Source organism: Homo sapiens, chromosome 3, assembly GCF_000001405.40.
Source record: "Homo sapiens chromosome 3, GRCh38.p14 Primary Assembly".
Lineage (NCBI taxonomy): Eukaryota > Metazoa > Chordata > Mammalia > Primates > Hominidae > Homo > Homo sapiens.
In genome coordinates, this window is record NC_000003.12 from 119,942,837 (window position 1) to 119,964,746 (window position 21,910).

Genomic DNA, 21,910 nt, shown 5'->3' on the forward strand with positions numbered 1-21,910 from the left:
AAAACACTCAAATATCTCATTTTTCTCTAATGGGAAGGTAAGAGAGGAGGTACTACTTACTCTAAACTAAATCATAGTTAGTTACTACTGGGTAACATAGAGTATACGAATTGACTACATGATGCTCTAGTTACTACAGCAAACATTAATAATTCCAACCAGAAAACTAAGGCTAATTAGTACACATCTCTAATCTCTGTCCTAACTTAATTCCTCTTTCTTCTAGTTACATTGGCTACCCCTTTCCCCTGTTACAGGATAAAAGCTGATTATCCACTATCCCTAAAGAAAGTCTTTAAAATGCAAAAGGCAGAATACAATAAAAAGAAGGTTACCAAAATAGACATATCATTCAGTCAAACTGTGGTCAATGAAATGTAAAACATGCCTGTTATTACAGAAATCCTACTTTAATTCTCCCAGAGCTGCAAAAGTACTTACAGACAGAAATTATGACAAGGCCACAGGGTAGCTTAGCTACAATTCTAAAATTAAAAATAACAATGTGGGAATAGATAAAATATTATATAGTATAACAATGGAATATTAGATAACCAAAATGCCTATACATATTATGAGGCAAGAGAAAAAAATCTTTATGAGATCATAAATAATTATGCATATACCTATATAAACATGTACGTATGGAATAAGATACACAGAACTGAAGTCAAAGGTCAGGACAGTAGTAGTGAATAATTTAGTTGTTTTCCTTAACATTTTCCAAAAAGGGAGTAATAGAGGCCCAGAGAGAAGAGACACTAAGAGAGACAACGAAGAAGATTTAAGACAGATGAGAACCCATATACAGATTTAGAAGCAATCAGAAAGAGAGTGGGATGGGTAAAATCCCATTGAAAGACAGGTATAGAAACCCAGAGAAAGAGGTTGATGGAGACCCATAAAAAGGAAATAAGAGAGGGAGAGAGACAGAGAGAAAAAGGGTGTGGGGGAGAAGAGAGAGACAAGAAAGAAAGAGACAGAGAAAAGAGAAAGAGTTATATGGAGGGAAAAGAAATCCAAAAAGGGGGTGACACAGACCAAGAGAGGGGGGACAAAAGCCCAGAGACAGAAAGATAGAGACTTGGAGCCTACAGTGAAAGGTTGAGGAATCCAGAAAGGTGAAGACTAAAGACAAAGGCGAAAAAAGGGCTAGAGAAAGAGACTGATAGAAAAAAAAGAGGGAAAGAAAGTCAGAGATGTTATAGAGAATGAGAGAATTTTTTTAAATTCCCAAATGCATTTTAAGTCATCTATTCTAGAACCTAACCAAGCCTTTAATCTCTCTAATCCTGAAACAATGAGTTATTCTTTCTCATCTTCACAATGTCCTCAACTAATCTCCCTAATTGCCTCCTCAAACTTCCTGTAGGCTCATGTTCTTATCACTGATCTCCCTCCCATAACATTCTCTCAAAAACCTCAAAAAGAAAATTTCTAATAACCTCAATCTCTTCATGGAGGGTTTCTTTTTACTGTCTTACCCTAGAGAAAACCTGGATCTCACCTAAACGTCAAAAGAAACCTCAAAAAGAAAACTGAAACCTCAAGAAGAAAATTTCTAATGACCTCAATTTCTTCATGCAGGGTTCTTTTTACCGTTTTGCTCTAGAGAAAACCTGAATCTCACCTAAAGGCACTGGTTTCCTTGCAGTTCTTTCAAATGAAGACTGGTCACCTCCTGACAAATTCTAGAAAAAGAAGGCAATAAATATTGCCAAACCGCTGATTTTTCACTGTCCTGGCCTCAAACAGCACTCCATGTCTCCTCCCCACCAAGCTCCACATGGCTACACGCCCTCTTTATCCTACTTTGTCAATGTCACTTCTCCACCTAGAGCCACCACCACCATCTACGAAGTCACACATCTATCCATCTACTGGGAATCTCTACTTGCATGTGTCATAAGCATCTCAAATGATTAATTTATTATTTCCTCCTCCAAAACTCTTCTCATATATAATATACATAAGCAATACATAATGCTTCTGCTAGAAAAATGCCTACCAAATATAGGACTGCCACATTCCAAGATAAATCATCTTCAAGGATTTGCAAGAATTTCACAGACATTTAGGTTCCTTTCTAAACAGCAGTGGATACTCTCAGTAACCTATTCCAAGAAAGTCAGAACTGAAAATAACTAACCTGAGCACTCAACCCTAGAAAAGAATCCATCTTCTCCTATGGGAAGAAATAGTTTACTACTTGATCTCCTGAAGGATATCTTAGTCCTGCCAGAACAATTCAGAAGTGGAGATCATGAATGGGGCAAAAAGAAATTCTCTCTTTGGTGGCTGGGAGATTACGGGAAGTCTTGAACCTATGTATTTCTGCACATCTTAGAAAAATTTCCTTTATTGACAAAGAAGGACCATTATTTTCAGCAATATATCACAACTTTTCTTCTCTTCTTCCTTTTTGTTTTTAATGAAGCTATCCCAAAATTAGGAGGTATCTTTTTTTAAAAAAATTTTTGGAAAATTTACAAAGCTCAAGAGAAAGTTCTGACATAAAGAAAATATTAGGTCTATTACTTTTTATAATAGAGGTTAATCTCTGTTAATGACTTCTAATTGCTCTTTATCTGTAAGAACCTTTAAGATAAGTAAGAAACTGAGAACAGCAGCAGAGAGGAAATTATCCTCTGGGGCATACAGATAAGAGGCAGTCAGTTGTCACCCCCAATGCAGGATTAAGTCAGGGCAAGAGCTGACTATGACAGGAGCTTTCCACCAAACCAAAACCAGACAAGTAAGCCATCAGATGCCTTGCATTCAAACGGTTTGATAGTCTTTCTTTTCTGCTCTTCAACTTCTTAAGAGTTAAATGAGTTAATATTTATAAAGCATTAAAACAGTGCCTAGCATATAAGGAATGCTATATACATTAAAGTAAGTAATCAAAGAGAAAATGTTTAAGAACTCTGGGAGGAGGCCTTTTTTCAAATGAATCTATTGTAATCCAGCAGTTTATGGAACAAATAATTCTTACCCAGGAGTATCATGATGTATCTAGTAACAACAACAACAACAACAAAATGAAGATGCAAAATTTCATTACAAAGAGTGTACTTGTGAACCTAACAGAGGCTGTACAATTTTACTTAGGAAGAGACAGGAAAAAGCAAACACATGCCAAAACAGATCAGAATAAAGATAATAACAGGCCATTTGGTAGGTTTTAAAAAGCTCTAATACTTATGAGGGTTCACAATCCCTAGTAAACCAGAGGTATCATTTAAACTGAAAAAAAAAAAAAGCAACTGAAAAGCAAGTGTCAATAAAGGGCCAATTTGCTAACTATAGTTGTTAAAACGTATTGTGTAATACATGTGTATATACACAACAATTATATGACTGTAGGTATTTATATCAAAATTCGGGCTTAATACATTGACATCTTCCTATATAATAGGCACTGTAATGTAAAAAGACTTTCTATGGAAATAATCTAAATAAAGTTTAATAGAAAATGTTGTCAGGCAATATTTGCTGTAAAAAAAAAGCTTAATAGAAAATGGCTAAAAACTGTTATACTAAAAAACAGTTACATAAAGTAACAAGAACACTGAGCTAGGAATCAAGTATTATGGATCTAAGAACATTAGATATTATATGCATGAAATCTGAAGTCCAAAATACCAACTGAAGTTATCCAAAGTCATATTTATTTAGCCAAAAGAATCAAGTGATTTGTTACCTGCCCTGCGTATGCACTCCAAACCAGTGAAAAGAAAGAAAGGATAGCGACAGGCAGAAAAATAAAGACACCAAGGAAAAACAGAAGAAATTTATTTTCTTTGCTCCAACTTCATTGATTATTGTGTCTTCTGAAGAGAAAGAGGTTGGAAGGAGTTATTAACAGCACAAAGTCTTCTTTATCCTTTGGTTTCGCAGAATTCAATGTGGTCAGACATAGGGATCACTTAAAGTAAGCTCTGCAATATTACATCTTTTCCAACTTTTTCACTGGCCAAGGATGGCTCAACTTGCTTCCAAATGTTTAACTCTCATTCTGTTCCTATCAGTCCTCTTGCTACCTCTTTACCTCTTATCAACTTCACTTAACAAAATGACTTAATTTTCCTCCCTGCAATAAATAGGTAAACTATCAGAGGGCTGCGTAAGCACATAAGGAACATAGATGTCTTTAAAAAAAAAAAAAGTATATAGATTTTCTTGAGAAGTGAAGACATACTTTAACAAAGAAGAAAATTCTTAAAAGTGCATTCCCTTTATCTTACTAATGCTTTCCTGATATAACTAATGATATCAATGACCATACCTTGGGCTGAGTATTGCTGGGGCAAGTGTTTCGGAATTTTTCCATTCCATTAGCAAAACTGTCTATGAGCGGTGGGGAGATTAATTTCTAGAAAAATAACAAATTTATCACAATATTCAGTACACACTTTGTGTCAAACCTACCTTCTCACCACTGGAGTAGAAGAAATAACGCAATCGGACTATGTTACAGTGATCTAGCTTTCTCATGATCTGGAGCTCTCGATTCTGAAAAGGAAACACATAAAAATATATTTTTAAAGGATAACAGCTATTCATCATATTGAACAAGATGCTTCTGAAATAACATTAAGCACTAAAATTAGCAAGCTATAGATATGCTACTAAAAAGTGTGATCTGTAGACTGGTTCTGATCTGCAAAATATTTGTTACTAGTCCATGAACTATCTGTTACTGCTCTCCAATAAGACAAATACAGAAATTGAGAGTGTTTAGAGCTTTTATAACAATGAGAGAATAAATTGATATCTAAGAATATGGTAATAAGAATTAGGATCCATATTTTATATTTTTAAAAATTTCATCTTTCTAGCAATTCATTTGTATATTTCACAAAAACAACAGTCTCCCATGAATTCAAAACTGTAAGAACTGTTACTTTACCACAAATAGCTTGACCTTATTGTTTTCTAAGATGCAGTGAAAAAAAAAACTGAGCATCAACTCCATGAAAAGAGCTCAGTTGCTAAGTTTTAGAAAAAGTGAATGCAGAGCGAAACTCCATCTCAAAAAAAAAAAAAAAGAAAGAAAAGAAAAGAAATTATACAGTCCTGATAGATTTGTAGACCACACAAAACTATTTTCCCTTTGGGAAGTTTCAAAGTTATGTTCATTCTTCAAAAAAAGAAATCACTAAATAATATGATGATTTCTTAATACCACAGACTTCGCAGCAGTAAATCTGACTAGACTGTACATTAACAAAGAGGTTATTATAGTCCAACAATATACTTGACTGACAGAAATCCACTTAATGAAGGACAAATTACATAACACACAGAAGCAATACCAAAATGCCAGCTTTCTAGCCAAAAAAATAAAGCTTTAGTTAAAGTAATGATTTAGAAGAGCTAGAAAACATAAAGTATACACCTGAGAATCTGGAAAGGAAATGGTGTTACGGTCAGAAAAGAGGCCAAGAAGGATGGGGATGAGGATGCGTTGGGACCAAAGAACCAGATAAAGATAGCTATCCTAGAATAGGAAGGGTAGGATGGCTTCTAGTTCTTAGAAGATGAGAGCAGAAGTGAATGTTCCTTTAAACTGACCTTTCGGAGTTGGGCTTATGTGTACAATGGTATTTAAAATCCTTTTATAAGATATCAATCTTTCATTCCATTACTTGTTAGTAAAAGTAACGGAAACAGAAAGTCCGAAAGTAAACAGAAAATAAGTCAGAAAGTACAGTACAATTACTTTAACAAATAACTAACAAAAGACTCTTAAGTGTTGACTAGTACAGAGAGAGGAACATAGAAAACTACCAACTTCAAAATTGTGTCCATTTCCATTCCAAATTGAAGCTATTTCTGGAAGTATTTCTATACTTTGTTTTTTTGTTTGTTTGTTTGAGACAGAGTTTCACTCTTGTTACCCAGGCTGGAGTGCAATGGCGTGATCTCGGCTCATTGCAACCTTTGCCTCCTGGGTTCAAGCGATTCTCCTGCCTCAGCCTCCTGAGTAGCTGGGATTACAGGCGCCTGCCACCACGCCCAGCTAATTATTTTAATATTTTTAGTAGAGACAGGGTTTCACCATGTTGGCCAGGCTGGTCTCGAACTCCTGACCTCAGACAATCCACCTGCCTCAGCCTCCCAAAGTGCTGGGATTACAGGCGTGAGCCACAGCGCCCAGCCTCTATACTTTGTTAATTCACATTTAGGTAGCTGGCTTTGAGGGAGAACTGCTAGTAAATCAATACTCATTCCTCTCATAACATACAGCTATTAAGACTGATTTTTTTAACATAGCCAACTATGTTAAAATAAGTTATTTATTTTTCCAGACTCACTAACCAAGGTAACAGAGTATTAAATTCCCAGATAACAGAAGTTGATAAGATTGTGCATAATACTTTTGATCAAAAAGAATGCATAAGTGAAGCAAGAACAAGGATCTAAGTATTCATCTACATTTACTCTTCCTATTGTGTTGCTTTAAAAATGTCTTATTTTAGATAAGGAAGTTAGAGAAAATCTCATGAAACAGGTAAGATATGAACACAAGCCTGAATGATATGAAGGTAAGAACCATGTGAAGATCTGAGGAAACAGCACTGTGGTTATAGGGAACTGCAAATGTAAAAACCTAGTAGTGGTGGGCTTGGCATATTCAAGAAATAGCCAGAAAGATAATACGGCTGCATCATTCTGAGTAAGGAGAGAAAGGTGGGAGTTAAGTTCAGAGAGGTAGGAGTTATGTTCAGAGAGGCAGGCAGGCACAAGATCATATAAACCTTCATCAAACATGGTAAGAAACTGAATTTCACTCTAAATGTAAAGGGAAGCTAATGGAGGTTTTGACCAGGAAAGTGATACAATCAGATTTACCTTTCAGAAAAGCATTCTATCATTTGAACCCAGGAGGTGGAGGCTGCAGTGAGCTGTGATCACGCCACAGCACTGGGCAACAGAGCAAGACTCCGTCTCAAAAAAAAAAAAAAAAAAAAAGCATTCTAAAAATTTAAGAGAATAAATTTGAAGGAAAAAGTAGATCAAGAGTTTCGTTTTTTATCTATTAAGTTTTTTTTAACCTATTAAGTTTTTATCTATTAAGTTTGAAATCCTTATACGACATTCATGTGAGGTCAGGGTAGAAGCTAAGGCTGGAAAAATGCATTTGGGAGTCATCTAGATAAAGAAGATTTAAAGCAAGGGTACCTAATGATATCACCTACGGAAGAAGTTCATACAGAAAAAAAATTCATGAAATGAAAAATAGAGGACAGAGTGGAGTAGTTAATAAAGCAGGAAGAAAAATAAGAAAGAATGTTATCTTAGAAGCCACGTTAAAAAATTTTTAGAAAAACTGAGTGATGATTTATGTCAAAAGCTACTGAAAGATGCATTAAGTGAAGCAAGTATAAGGACCTAAATATTCATCTATGTTTACTCTTCTGTTCCTATTGCGTTACTTTAGAAATATCTACATTTTACATAAGGAAGCCGGAGAAAACCTTATGAAGGAGGTTAAGATATGAACATCAACCTGGATGATATAAAGGTAAGAACCATGTGAAGATCTAGGGAAGATGGTTACAGGGAACTGCAAATGTAAAAACTCAGTGGTGGGCTTGGCATATTCAAGAAATAGGCAGAAGGATAATGGCTAGATAAACACAGGAAAATAACAATTGCTATGAAAATGCAAGATGTTGGTGACTCTTACAAGAATGGTTTCAGTAGAACAATGGTGAAAAAAACTGACTAGATTGAATTAAAGTGGGTGTAGGGGACACAGGGTCCTAAGGGGTTAGAAAGTTTGAGGAGAGATTTCCAGGTACAGCAGAATGATGACAGTAGCAAATCTACTCCCCCACAATACTTATAAAACTGAAGTACACTGAAGAAAACAATCACTTCAGGGCTCTGGAAACTGAGCAAAGGCAACAACAAATTGAGAAGCATTTATTCTTGAAAAGCTGCTAGATATGACAGAACAGTAGAGGAAAATGGCCTTCTTTGCCAAGCGATGCTACCATCCCCCTACAACCACCCAACTCAATCAGTGAGGCAGTTTTCCCAGGGCAGTGTTGGCAGTGAAAACCAGAGGGCTATGGTCATTTAGGATAGAGAGCAAAAACCCATGCCTAGTAGCACTGGCAATAAAAATAGCAAATTTGGAAGGACAGAAAGGGGAAAGGCCCATAGCTCTGCTAAAATGAGAATGTAGTCCCAGTTAGAGAAAATGACAGACTAGAAGGACACCCAGAAATGTAATAAGGGGATACTGGAAATGAGAGAGGCACAGAGGGCCTAAATTAGCTCCCCACACATAACTGTCTGACAGGCAGTGCACATATGGGGGTGGAGGGAGGCTCAACAGAGCCCCGGAGAAAGTAAAAGCCAAGGCTAATGTGAAAAATGTCAGAATTTTGAATATACTTCCCAACTCACATATAGGATCATCAAAAAATGCTGAAAGTGGCAGGGTGCAGTGGCTCACGCCTGTAATCCCACCACTTTGGGAGGTTCAGGCGGGCAGATCACCTGAGGACAGGAGTTCAAGACCAGCCTGACCAGCATGGTGAAACCCAGTCTCTACTAAAAATATAAAATTAGCCGGGCTTGGTGGCGCATGCCTGTAATCCCAGATACTCGGGAGGCTGAAGCAGGAGAACTGCTTGAACCCAGGAGGTGGAGCCTGCAGTAAGCTGAGATCATGCCAGTGCACTCCAGCCTAGAAAACAAGCCAGAATCTGTCTCAAAAAAATTCAGAACCTAGCATTGCTACAATATATTATATAATATGTTCAATTGGAAAAAAACATTGTGAGACATGCAAACTACAGGAAAAGTTGACCTATAATCAGGTTAAAAAAAAGCAGTCAACAGAAATTAACTCCTGGTGGGCAAAGCTGTTGGATTTAGCAGATAAAGAATACAAAGCAGCTATTATAATTTATAATTAAGTTCAAAAAATTAAGGGAAACCATATTTTAAAAATTAAAGAAAAATGACAATTGCACAACACAGAGAATCTCAATAAAGAAATGCTAACTTTTAAAACATGAGAATTAACTAGAGTTGAAACACATTATAACAAAAATGAGATTCACTATGTCCTCAAGAAAATATTTGAGATGGCATTAAAAAAAAAAACCCAGTGAACTTGAAGAAATAGAGATTGTCCAAAAGAAAGAACAAAGAGGGAAAAAATACTGCAGAAAAATAAACAGAGCCTCAGATACTTCTGGGATAACATCACACATATCAACATATGTGTAAAAGCAGAACTGGAAAAAGAGAAAGGAGAAAAAAATGTTAGAAGAAATAATGGCTGAACATTCCCCAAATTTGCTGAAAACCACTAATCTATCAAACCATGAAGATCAATGAACCGGCCAGGCACGGTGGCTCACGTCTATAATCCCAGCACTTTGGGAGGCCGAGGCGGGTGGATTACCTGAGGTCAGGAGTTCAAGACCAGCCTGGCCAACATGGTGAAACCCCATCTCTACTAAAAATACAAAAATTAGCCGGGTGTGGTGGCACACCCCTGTAATCCCAGCGACTCGGGAGGCGGAGGCAGGAGAATTGCTTGAGCCCGGGAGGCAGAGGTTGCAGTGAGTCGAGATCGTGCCACTGCACTCCAGCCTGGCTGACAGAGAGAGACTCTGTCTCAAAAAAAAAAAAAAAAGAAAAGAAAGAAAAGAAAAAAAAATTATCAATGAACCCAAAATATGATAAACACAGGGATCAACATCTAAGCATTTCACATTTAAACAGTTTGAAGCCACCAAAAAAAAAAACATGAGAGGAGCAACAGAGAAATCACTCATCACATACATGGGAAAAACAATACAATTAATAGCCGACTAATCATCAGGAAAAAACGGAAGCTAGAAGGCAGTAACAAAAAATTAAAAAAAACTATCAACTAAGAATTCTATTTACTGCAAAAGTATTCTTCAAGCAAGAAAGGAAGAATAAAGACATCCTCACACTTAAAAAAAAAGATGGAGAATAAGTTGAAATACTTGAACAAGTACCTTGAGCTAAAAGAAAATGACACCACATGTTAACTGGAATTCACAAAAACAAGTGAGGACCACCAGATATATTAAATATAAATGAGAAAATATAAAAGACTATAGATATATTTTTATTTCCTCTTAATTTCATTAAAAGACAGAATATGATAACAGTTGGGTTTATAACGTAAATAAATGTAATATATAAGGCAATAACAGCAAAAAGGAGGGGGAGAAAACAGTTATAATGGAGCACAAGTGCTATATTTTACAGAAATTAGGTCAGTATTAACCTAAAGTTAATGGTGATAAATTGGAATGTAAACTGTAATTCTTAGAGCAACCACTAAGAAAATAATTTAATGTTAAAAATCAACAGCAGACTTAAGACGATACACTAAAAAATATTTGTTCAACACAGAAGATAGTAACGAAGAACGGAAGAACAAATATAACATGAGAGATATAGAAAACAAAGAGCAAAATGGCACATGTAATTCCAGCTACATCACACACTACATAAAATGTGAAAGAGCTAAGCATACAATCAAAAGGCTATATAAAAAGAAAGCTGCAACTATAATCTATCCCTAGGAATTAATACTTTAGATTCAAAGACACAAACAACTTAAAAGTAAAAGGATGAAAAATGATATACAATACAAACAGTAACCAAGAGAGATGGAGCGGCACATGTTGGCAGAGACAGACAGAGAGAGAGACCCACTGCCTACAAGATAAAGTCTAAATCACTTTATAATCTGGCCTCTCCTTTTCAGTTTAGTCTTCCACTCATGACCAATGTGAATTCTATATTATCGCTAGATGCTACTTCTCACTCTTCCTGAATATATTGTTTCATTCCCAATTCTAAACCAATTATATTCCCAATTCTATTACATTTACCATCACATTACCATCAGTGGAATGTGCTGACTCTCTCTCCAACCTACACACATTCTAAGCCCATCCTTTAAGTTCCTATTTAACTTTTACCTTTTTAACGAGGCCATCACCAATCTCTCCCTGCAGCACTTACAAATATTTTGAAATTTACTATATGTTCTCTTGGTTTTATTTTTACAACTACAGTTCATTGATGTTATATAAAAGGATACTTTTCAAAAGTAGCTTATAGAAATCAGATATTATAGTCACTATACAGACACAGACACAGACACACACTCACAAACCCTGCCCAACCAACATACTATAAGTGTTTTAAGAACATCTTTCTGTATTACTCTCAGAGTTCTCAGAGCAGGTTACTTTGTCTTTAACAAAGTAATTTCCCAGCTTCTGTAATTTCTTCTACTTTCCAACTTGGTGTTATTTTCCAAACTATGGGCACCAGCCAATCAGCACTGAGAAGGAAGTGTGGAAGGAGAATAGAATAGAATAGAATAGAATAGAATAGAATAGAATAGAATAGAATAGAATAGAATAGAATAGAATAGAATAGAATAGAAAAGAAACAGAACAGAACAGAACAGCATAGCATAAAATAGAATGGAGGAATAAGAATAGAATAGAATGGAATAGAATATCACTTTACATACAGTAAGGGTTTTTTTCATGAAACTTGTTAATTATTTTTCTGTGCATCGGGCTGCAATGTTAAAATGCATGTCTTACTTTAAGGTCATAGTTAGAAATTTTAAATTGTGGTAACTGACTTGCCTGTAAAGGCATCTTTTTTCAAATAGAAAAGACAAAAGAATACATGTAAACAAGATTCTTACTAATCATTCTCAACTTATTTATAAAACAAAATGACTACCCAAGATGGAATAAGCATAATATCAGTATTTAAAAAGTCTAAATGGCACATTTAAAGGAAAACTGATTCTTTTGTTTTAACCAATACTCATTAACATATATCCACCTCTAGAGTAGACATGGAGGCTTTTATTCATTTTTACAATATCTGACATCTCATGCTTTAAAAAGAGAGAGAAAAGAGAAAGAAAAACTTCTGGAAGCTAAAAGCACAGACTGAAAAAGTTCCAGAAGGCTATATTTTTGTACCATTACATAAAGTTTAATAAAGGAAAAGTAAACTTTTAGGTGAAGAAACAACCAGCAAGCTTAATATTGTGGGTGTATGATGGGCAGCATGTGGTTATCATCTTTTCTTCTTCATCAAAGTTTGTTCTGTTGGGAGATCTTCCCCCATGATAGAAAGTTCTACTTTCATAAAATCTAGTAAAATAGGACTCATTTCCAATGTTTTGCTTAAAGAATATTTTCCCAAAGTACACCTTCTGCAAAAAAAATGAAGGTTATCCAAAGTTGCATTATCCATCCTTAGTCATCATAAGACTCAAAAAGCATTTAATTCATCTCTAAATCTTTGATTTCACAGTAAATTCAGTTGCCCTAAAAGAACCAACAGCTAAAAAAAAAAAAAAACACAAAAAAACTTAACCCCATTTGCACAAGTATATTTTTAATTGATACATGATATTTTACTATTTATGAGGTACATGGATATTTTGTTCCATGCATAGAACATGTAATGATCATATTTTGAAGCCAACTATGTGTCAGAACTGGGGGCCCTGAGAATACAAAAATTTACAATCTTTAAATGTTTTACAGTCTAATGGGTGAGCAAACCAACAACTATAACACAATGTGATTAAGTTGAGCTCATTTAAAAAGTGCTATAGATACTTGGGGACAGGAGCTAAGAAAAATTTGCTTATTAATTTGTAAAATTCTGGAATGGGGTCAGGTGGAAAGTCTTAAATACAGCGCTAAATATTACAAGGCATAAAGAACCACTGATTGGTTTTTTTTGCTTTTGTTTTTGTTGTTGTTGTTGTTGTTTTGAGACAGAGTCTCACTCTGTCACCCAAGCTGGAGTGCAGTGGCATGATCTCAAATCACTGCAACCTCCGCCTCCTGGGTTCAAGCGATTCTCCTGCCTCACCCTCCTGAATAGCTGAGATTACAGGCGCCTGCCACCACGCCTGCCTAATTTTGTATTTTTAGTAGAGATGGGTTTTCACCATGTTGGCCAGGCTGGTCTCGAACTCCTGACCTCTGGTGATCCGCCTACCTCGGCCTCCCAAAGTGCTGGGATTACAGGTGTGAGCCACCTCACCCAGCCCACTAATGTGTTTTACACAAGATATTTGTTTTAGGAAGATTGCTATGAAAAAAAATGTTACAAAGGTGGCGGCGGATAAAACTAGGATCTACACTAGTAAAAACAGAGAAAAACAAATGGAAGAAAATGGGTCTACAATAGTAGTGATCACCTACTGCTATTGAATTAGTAAATAGAAGGAGGGAGGTGACAGCTATCAGGCTTCTCACTCACATGACTATGAACACGGTACAGTTCAGTGGCCGGGGAAGCTGTTTTGGAAGCAGAAAGAAGTGAGTTCAATTTGGGACACATTCATTTTGAAACGACTCAGGGACACTGAAGCAGATGAAAAGGTCCAGAAAGCAATACCGTATGTTCTTCTTATCCTCAAGGAGGTGTGGGTGGTTCAGAAGCCATAGGAGAGTATATATTATTGCCTATACAGGTTGAATACACATTATCCGAAATGCTTGGGACCAAAAGTGTTTCAGACTTCAGACTTTTTTTGGATTTAGTATTATCTTTACCCATTAAGCCTTCCTAATCTGAAAATCCAAAATTCAAAATGCTCCAATGAGCACTCCCTTTAAACATCGTGTTGGTGCTCAAAAAGTTTTAAATTTCAGAGCATTTCAAATTTTGGATTTTTGGTTTCAAGATGCTCAACCTATAAAATAAGAAAAAAAGTGATCAAACTCCCCAGCAGCAGAAAGTCTATAAAGGACACTAAAAAGAAATTAGTCAGAAAGTAGAACCTAGACAGTGGAGTAACGTAAGCCTTAGGAAAGGTGAGCTATTCAAGAAAAGATTCTGGAGAATATCATCATTTAAGCAGACAGAAGAAAAGGAATCAATACAAGAGACAGAGTGAGAAAAGCTCTAAGAGATGAGCCACAAAAATAATACCCTTGAACAGGGGCAAATAAACATTTTCTATAAAGGACCAGACACTAAATTCTTCAGGTTTATTCAACTCTGTAGTTGTAGGGGAAAAGCAGTCAGACAATATTTATAAGAATGAATGTGGCTGTCTGTTTACAACAATATGTGTAAGAATTAACGTGGCTGTTTGTTATAAATTTTATTTACAAACACAGGTGGCTGGTTCACTGTTTCCCAATCCCTGCACCACAAGGCAAGAAAGGAAAGTTCCTTACCGTCAATCTCAATTTTGTACTTAGTACATATACATAGTGGACTTTCTATATTGATTTAGGGACTAATGTTCTGGAAATTTATGATATTTTCCTTTTACATAACTATAATTAGTGTGTAAGTTAAAATTTTAAATTATAGTTATAAAATAACATACTGCCTAGGTAGGCTTAACATGTTCTGTAACAAAACCCCAATTTTATAGAAACAATAAAAAGGACTCATGTATGCTACTTTTCCCAATCAGTTACACAGACTACTTGCCCAGCACAGAAAGGGAAATGGAAGAGAAACAACACAAAGGATGCCTGCATGAACTAAGGGAATAACGGACTTTTATATCCTGACAGGTAATATGACTACTAAAGTAGATATAAACCAGGTTCTTGAATACTTAGTTTTCGGAAGCCCTAGCATGTAAGTCAATGCCAGCTTAAGTGTGTATTCCTTTAACCCTGTATCTTTGAGAGCCAATAACACAACAGCATATTATTATTAACAATAGCAATGATGGCACCAACAACTACAGAACACAAAGAATTTACTATGAGCTGACCACTCTGTTAAGAGCTGTATCTTCACAACTTCAATCCTCTCCACAAACCTATCAAGTAAGCAACATTATGATCCCCACTTAAGAGCGGGTGTAGGCATAGAGAGGTTAAGAAATTTGGTAGCAAACAGCACAGGCAAGATTTAAACCAGGTGTGTCAGATTCCATGCTCTATCACAATGAAATGTAACTCAATTCCATTTATTACTATGTGCTTGAAAATACAATGACAATAAAGGAGGACTTCAGTATTGAAAGAGCTTATAATTCAAAATAAGACAAGTATACAAGTAGGCAAATAAAGATACTGATACGGTTTGGCTCCACGTCCCCACCCAAATCTCATCTCGAACTGTAATCCCCACGTGCTGAGGCGAGGACCTATACCCCCCCAAGTGTCAAGGGAGGGAAGTGACTGGGAGAGATGGTTTCCCCCATGCTGCTCTCCTAATAGTGAGTGAATTCTCACAAGATTTGATGGTTTTATAAATGTTAGTTTCTCCTGCACGATGACTCTCTCTCCCACCACCTTGTGAAGAAGGTGCCTGCTTTCTTTCCCTTTCGCCATGACTGTAAATTTCCTAAGGCCTCCCCAGCCATGTGGAACTGTGAACCAATTAAACATCTTTCCTTTATAAATTACCCCGTCTCAAGGAGTATCCTTACAGCAGTGTGAGAATGGACTAACACAGATGCCATACAACAGAAAATGTTAAGTGCCACTAGAGTTATCGAAAAAGGGGTGGGTGGGTGGGTGGGTGTGGCAGCTCATGCCTGTAATCCCAGCACTTTGGGAGGCTAAGGAAGGAGGATCACTTGGGCCCAGGAGTTCAAGACCAGCCTGACAACACAGGGAGATTGCATCTCTACAAAAAATAAAAATAAATTAGCTGGGCATGGTGATGCACACCTGTGTTCCTAGCTACTCGGGAGACTGAGGTGGGAGGATCACTTTAACCAGGGAGGTCAAGGCTACAGTGCGCTATGATTGTGACATTGCACTTCAGCCTGGGTAACAGGGTGAGACCCTGTCTCTCCCTCGACCCTGGAAGAAAAAAAAAGGATGGAGAATTCTAAAAACAGAAAGAATACTTCCAACTAGGAAGATTAAAAAGATTTTTAATGAAAAGAGTGTTCACTTTTTTCATGAAAAGAGTGTTCACTTTTTTCATGAAAAGAGTGTTAAGTTGGAGCTTAACAGGTAGAATTCAACTTGTCTCTTAGACCATTTGCTTTCTGAATACAGAAACTAAAACTCGAAAATTCTCCTTACTCAGGAGAAACTAGAAACGGGGGCATCAGCCTATATATCCCCTGGAATACAACACAACTAAAACCTCTGGTTACTGTGCAGAATATGCCTTTGTGCTACAACTAAGGTTTACACAAAAATGATTGGTTGACTCCCTCTCTCCTTGAAATGTTTTCTCCAATTACTTTCCAGGACACTAAATTATCTTGCTTTTTAATCCTTCCTCATTGGCCAAATTTGCAGTTTTCTTTGCTAGTTCTTCATAATCTCCCTATTTTTTAAACACTGAAGTAGCCAGAACTTAGTCTCTCACCTCTTTCAGCTGCCTCTATCACCTCTTCCAGTCTCAGGGCTTTAAAGGCTGATCAGACTCCCAATTGTATATCTCTAGACCAGACCACCCCTGTGAATTCCAAAATCTTTTAACCAACTGCTTATGTGACAATTTTTCTGTGTCTAATATACATCAACTTGACATGTTATAAGTAAAATTTTTCATCTCCTTTAAACATGCTCTACCCATAGCTTTCCCCATGTCAGCTGTTGGCAATTCCACTCCTCTAGTTGCCCAGGTCAAAAACCATGAAGTCTTGATTCCTCTTTCTCTCTGACTTTTTTTTTTTTTTTTTTTTTTTTTAAAGACAGAGCCTCACTCTGTCGCCCAGGCTGGAGTGCAGTGGCATGATCTCAGCTCACTGCAACCTCTGTCTCCCAGGTTCAAGTGATTCTCCTGCCTCAGCCTCCTGAGTAGCTGGGATTACACGCGTGTACCACCATGCCCAGCTAATTTTTTTGTATTTTTAGTAGAGATGGGGTTTCACCATGTTGGCCAGGCTGGTCTTGAACTCGTGACCTCAAATGATCCTCCAACCTCAGCCTCCCTAAGTGCTATTATTAGCAATAACAATTATTGTTCCCAAAGTGCTAGGATTACAGGCATGAGACACTGCGCCCGGCTTGACCTCACATTAATCTGTCAAGAAATCCTGTTGGCTCAACCTTCAAAACTTACCCAGGATCCCAGCAATTGCACTCTTGGGCATATGTTTTATAGAAATAGAAATTTACGTTCACATTAAAACCGGCATATGAATGTTCAAAGCAGCTTTATTTAGAATAGCCCCCAGATGTCACTCACTGGGTGAATAAACAAACTGTAGTATATCCATACCATGGAATACTACTCAGCAATAAAAAAGAAACAATTATTGATCCATGCAACAACATGGTTGCATCCCCAGAAACCTATGCTGAGACAAAAAAAAAAAAAAAAAAAAAAAGCTAGCCCAAAAGGTTACATACTGGATATGATTCCATTTTTATAACCTTCTTGAAAGAAAAAAAGTTTGGAAATGGTAAACAGATTAGTGGTTACTGCCAGGGGTTACACTGGGTGTTAGGGGTGGAGTAATGGCAGGGAGAGAAGTCAATGTGGTTATAAAAGGGCAGTAAGAGGATACTTGTGATGTTCTGTATCTTTACTATCATGGTCTATACACAAACCTATGCATGTAATAAAAAAAAAATAGAAAGAAATATATACACATACAGCTCTCCAAAGTAGTACAAGAGAATCTGAGGAAATTTGAATAAAATCAGTGGATTCTATCAATGCCAATATCCTAATTGTGATAATGTACTATAATTTTGCAAGATGTAATCATTGAGGGAAAGTGGGTAAAGAGTTTTACCCATGTGGGATTTCTCTACTTTGCTTTACAACTGCATAAATATCTGAATATCAGCCCCCCTCACATACTTCAGGTATTTCCTCAAATGCTACATACTTTCTCACACTATTTAAAATTGCAACCTCAACATTTACTCTCAGCAATCCTTAAACCCCTTCATTACCTCAATCTTCTCCAGAGTAACAATCATCTAATACATTATATCTATTTTGCATATTTATTCATTATTGTCCATCCCTCCCCACTATAATATAAGCTTTAAAATGACATAGTTTTGTTGTCTGTTTTGTTTATTGTTGTATGTCTAGAATCTAGAACAATGCCCAGCCCATATCAACTCAATAATCTATGGTCGAACATGTATTTACACTGATGATATAAAATAACACCCCTACTGACAAAAAGAGATACGTTAATACATATCAATACATTTCATTGTAAGAAGTGTCACTACCAGTCAGAAAAATAAAGGAGTTAGAAAAACAAGTTATTCCCAAGTCACGAGCCCCCACCCCTCAAAACACATGTAAAGGACTACTTCCCATTCCTGAGAATAGAGCTGTGATGTACCACTCTCTCTAATCCCTCTCCAGCTAATCTCTCCAAAGGTTAAAAACTGATCAAGAGCCCTATCCTCACAGGGCCAGGCTTGAAAATACCATTCTTCAGCCAAGCTCTGGCTCACCAAAGATTGTGTATATATAACAACAGCACTAATCTCTTCCTCATTGTTGGTGCATTAAAAGTGATGAGAAAAACAGGCTGGGCGCAGTGGCTCACACCTGTAATCCCAGCACTTTGGGAGGCCAAGGCAGGCAGATCACTTAAGGCCAGGAGTTCAAGACCAGCCTGGCCAACATGGTGAAACTCCGTCTCTACTAAAAATACAAAAATTAGCCAGGGGTGGTGGCACACACCTATAGTCCCAGTTACTCGGGAGGCTGAGGCACAAGAATCGCTTGAACCCAAAAGGCAGAAGTTGCAGTGAGCTGAGATTGGGCCACTGCACTCAGCCTGGGTGACAGAGCAAGACTCTGTCTCACAAACAAAAAAAAAAAAAAAAAAGGAAAAAGCACTTGACAAAATTCACCCCCCTTTCATTACAAAAACCATCAACAAATCAGATATAGAAGGAACTTACCTCAACAAAATAAAAGTTATAAAATCAGTCACTGACTTGATGGTTCACCTCAAAAATTTTCAACCTTACAATGGTGTTTTCAGCTGTGTACATTAATGATGAGTACCCATATAGTATTCAATAAATTACATGAGATATTCAACACTTTATTATAGAATAGGCTATGCGATACATGACTTTGTCCACCTGCAGGCCAACATAGGTGTTCTGAGCACGTTTAAGGTAAGCTAGGCTAAGCTATAATGTACTACAGATGAGGTGCATTAAATGTATTTTTGACTTAATGACATTTTTAACTTACAATGAGTTTATCTGGATGTAACTTCATTTTAGGTCATGGAGCATGTGTATATGAAAAGCCCATAACTGCTGGGCATGGTGGCCCACCCCTGTAATCTCAGCACTTTGGGAGGCTGAGGCAGGTGGATCACCTGAGGTCGGGAGTTCGAGACCAGCCTGACCAACATGGAGAAACCCTGTCTCTAGTAAAAATACAAAATTAGCCAAGCGTGGTGGTGCATACCTGTAATCCCAGCTACTCAGGAGGCTGAGGCAGGAGAATCGCTTGAACCTGGGAGGCAGAGGTTGCAATGAGCCAAGATTGTGCCATTGCACTCCAGCCTGGGCAACAAGAGTGAAACTCTGTCTCAAAAAAAAAAAAAAACAAAAACAAAAAAACAAAAAAAGCCTATAACTAACACATCATACACAACAGTGAAAAACAGAAAACTTTTCCTCTAAGATTATGAACAATTAGGCAAGAATGCCCACTCTTGCCATCTATTCAACATAGTACTGTAAGTCCTAGCCAGAGTAATTAGGCAAGAAAAAGAAATAAAAGGCATCTAAATTGGAAAAAAAAAAGAAAATTATTTGTTTGCATATGAAATAGGTAGAAAATCCTAGACCATGCACACACACAAAACTGTTAGAATAAATTCAGTCAAGTTGCAGGACACAAAATCAACATTTAAAAAATCGGTTGCAATTCTATATACCAGCAGTCCTCAACCTTTTTGGCACAAGGGACCAGTTCCATAGAAGACTATTTTTCCACGGACCGGTGAGGGGCTGGTGGGAAGGTTTCAGGATGAAACTGTTCTACCTCATAAGGAGTGTGCAACCTAAATCCCTCGCATGCGGATGTCACAATAGGGTTCATGTTCCTATGGGAATCTAATGCTGCTGCTGATCTGACAGGAGGTGGAGCTCAGGCAGTAATGCTCACTGGCCTGGTGCTCATCTGTTGCTGTGTGGCCTGGTTCCTAACAGGCCATGCACCACACTGGTCCGCAGCCTGAGGGTTGGGGGCCCCTGTTATACACCAACAACAAACTATCCAAAAAAAAGTTTAAGAAAGCAATCACATTTACAACAGCAACAAACAGAATACTTAGGAATTAACTTAACCAAGGAGGTGAAAGACTTGTACACTAAAAATTATAAAACGCTAATGAAAGAAATTAAGGCAGATACAAATAGATGGAAAAACATCCTGTGTTCATGGATTAAATTAATATTGTTAAAATGTCCATATTATCCAAAGCCATCTATAGATTCAGCACAACCCCTATCAAAATCCTAAAGACATTTTTTACATAATTTATTTTAATCTTAAAATTTACATAGAATCACAAAAGACCTCAAATATTCAAAGCAATTTTGAGCAAGTATGACAATGTTGGAGGCATCACACTCCTCATTTCAAAATATTTTATAAAACTACAGTAATCAAAACAGTATGATACAAGCATATAAAAACAGACATATGAATCCCAGCTACTTGGAAGGCTGAGGTGGGAGATCGCCTGAACCTGGGAGGCAGAGATTGCAGTGAGCTGAAATTATGCCACGGCACTCCAGCCTAGGCAACAGAGTAGAGACTGTCTTCTTCCCCACAAAAAAAAAAAAAAAAAAAGAAAGAAAAAAAGAAAAAAGAAAGAAAAAGAAAAAAAACACATGGACAAATGGAACAGAGCAGAAAATCCAGAAATAAAGTCAATGGATCTTCAACAAAGGTGCCAATAATTTACAATGCAGAAAGGACAGTTTTTTCAATAAATGGTGTTGGAAAACCTGGATACCCATATCCAAAAGAATGAAATTGGAACCTTATCTTACACCATACACAAAAATTAACTTAAAATGGATTAAAGATTTAAACATAAGATCTGAAAACGTAGAACCCTTTGAAGAAATCATCAGAGAAAACCTTCTTGACACTGTTCTTGTCAATAATTTCTTGGATAACAGGCAACAAAAGCCAAAAATAGACAAGTGGGACTATATCAAACTAAAAAGCTTCTACACAGCAAAAGAAACCATCAACAGAGTAAGAAGGCAGCCTATGGAATGGAAGAAAATATTTGCAAACCAAATGTCTGACAAGGAGTTAATTTCAGAAAATATAACAAACTCCTATAACTCAACAGCAAAAAATGAGATGAATAAAAAATAAGCAAAGGACTGGAATAGACAAAGAAGACATACATACGACCAACAGGCATATGCAAAAAGACCATATGATCCAACAATCCCACTTCTGGGTAAACATCCAAAAGAATTGCAATTAGGGTCTCAAAAAGATACCTGCACTCCCATATTCATTGCAGCATTATTCACAATAGCAAAGATGGGAAAACCCAGATGAATTGATAAGAAAAATGTGGTATATACATACAATAGAATAAATATTACAAGTTTTTTTAATAAGAAGGAAATCTTACCACTTGTGACAACACAGATGAACCTGGAAAATACGCTATGCTAAGCAAAATAAGTTAGTCACAGAAGGAGAAATACTGCATTATTTTTCATAACAAGGAATCAAACCTATATAAGTAGACAATAGAATGGTGGTTACTAGGAGACAGGGGAGGAAGATATGGAGAGTTGTTGTTCAACGGTATAAAGTTAGTTATACAAGATAAGTAAGTTACAGAGATATGCTTTCCAACATAGGGCCTATAATTAACAAGGTGAACTTTTGAAAATTTGCTAAGAGGGTAAATGTCATGTCA

At 36.8% G+C, this 21,910-nt stretch overlaps 1 protein-coding gene across 4 annotated transcripts in view, besides 1 other annotated feature; it reads right to left on the minus strand.

The window, feature by feature from the left end:
- The window catches only part of GSK3B (glycogen synthase kinase 3 beta), a 273,127-nt gene that overhangs the window by 121,516 nt on the left and 129,701 nt on the right, over positions 1-21,910 (minus strand). For all 4 annotated transcript variants that reach the window (NM_001354596.2, NM_001146156.2, XM_006713610.4 and 1 more), the window contains exon 3: positions 4,432-4,515. In NM_001354596.2, the coding sequence (NP_001341525.1) occupies positions 4,432-4,515 (84 nt within the window). The remainder of the gene's footprint in view (positions 1-4,431; positions 4,516-21,910) is intronic.
- Positions 1,423-1,642: an enhancer, noted in NCBI's record as "active region_20328". NCBI's record gives its function as "activates an Ori minimal core promoter by ATAC-STARR-seq in GM12878 lymphoblastoid cells {active_cell/tissue: GM12878}" and the evidence as "EXISTENCE:reporter gene assay evidence [ECO:0000049][PMID:35858748]".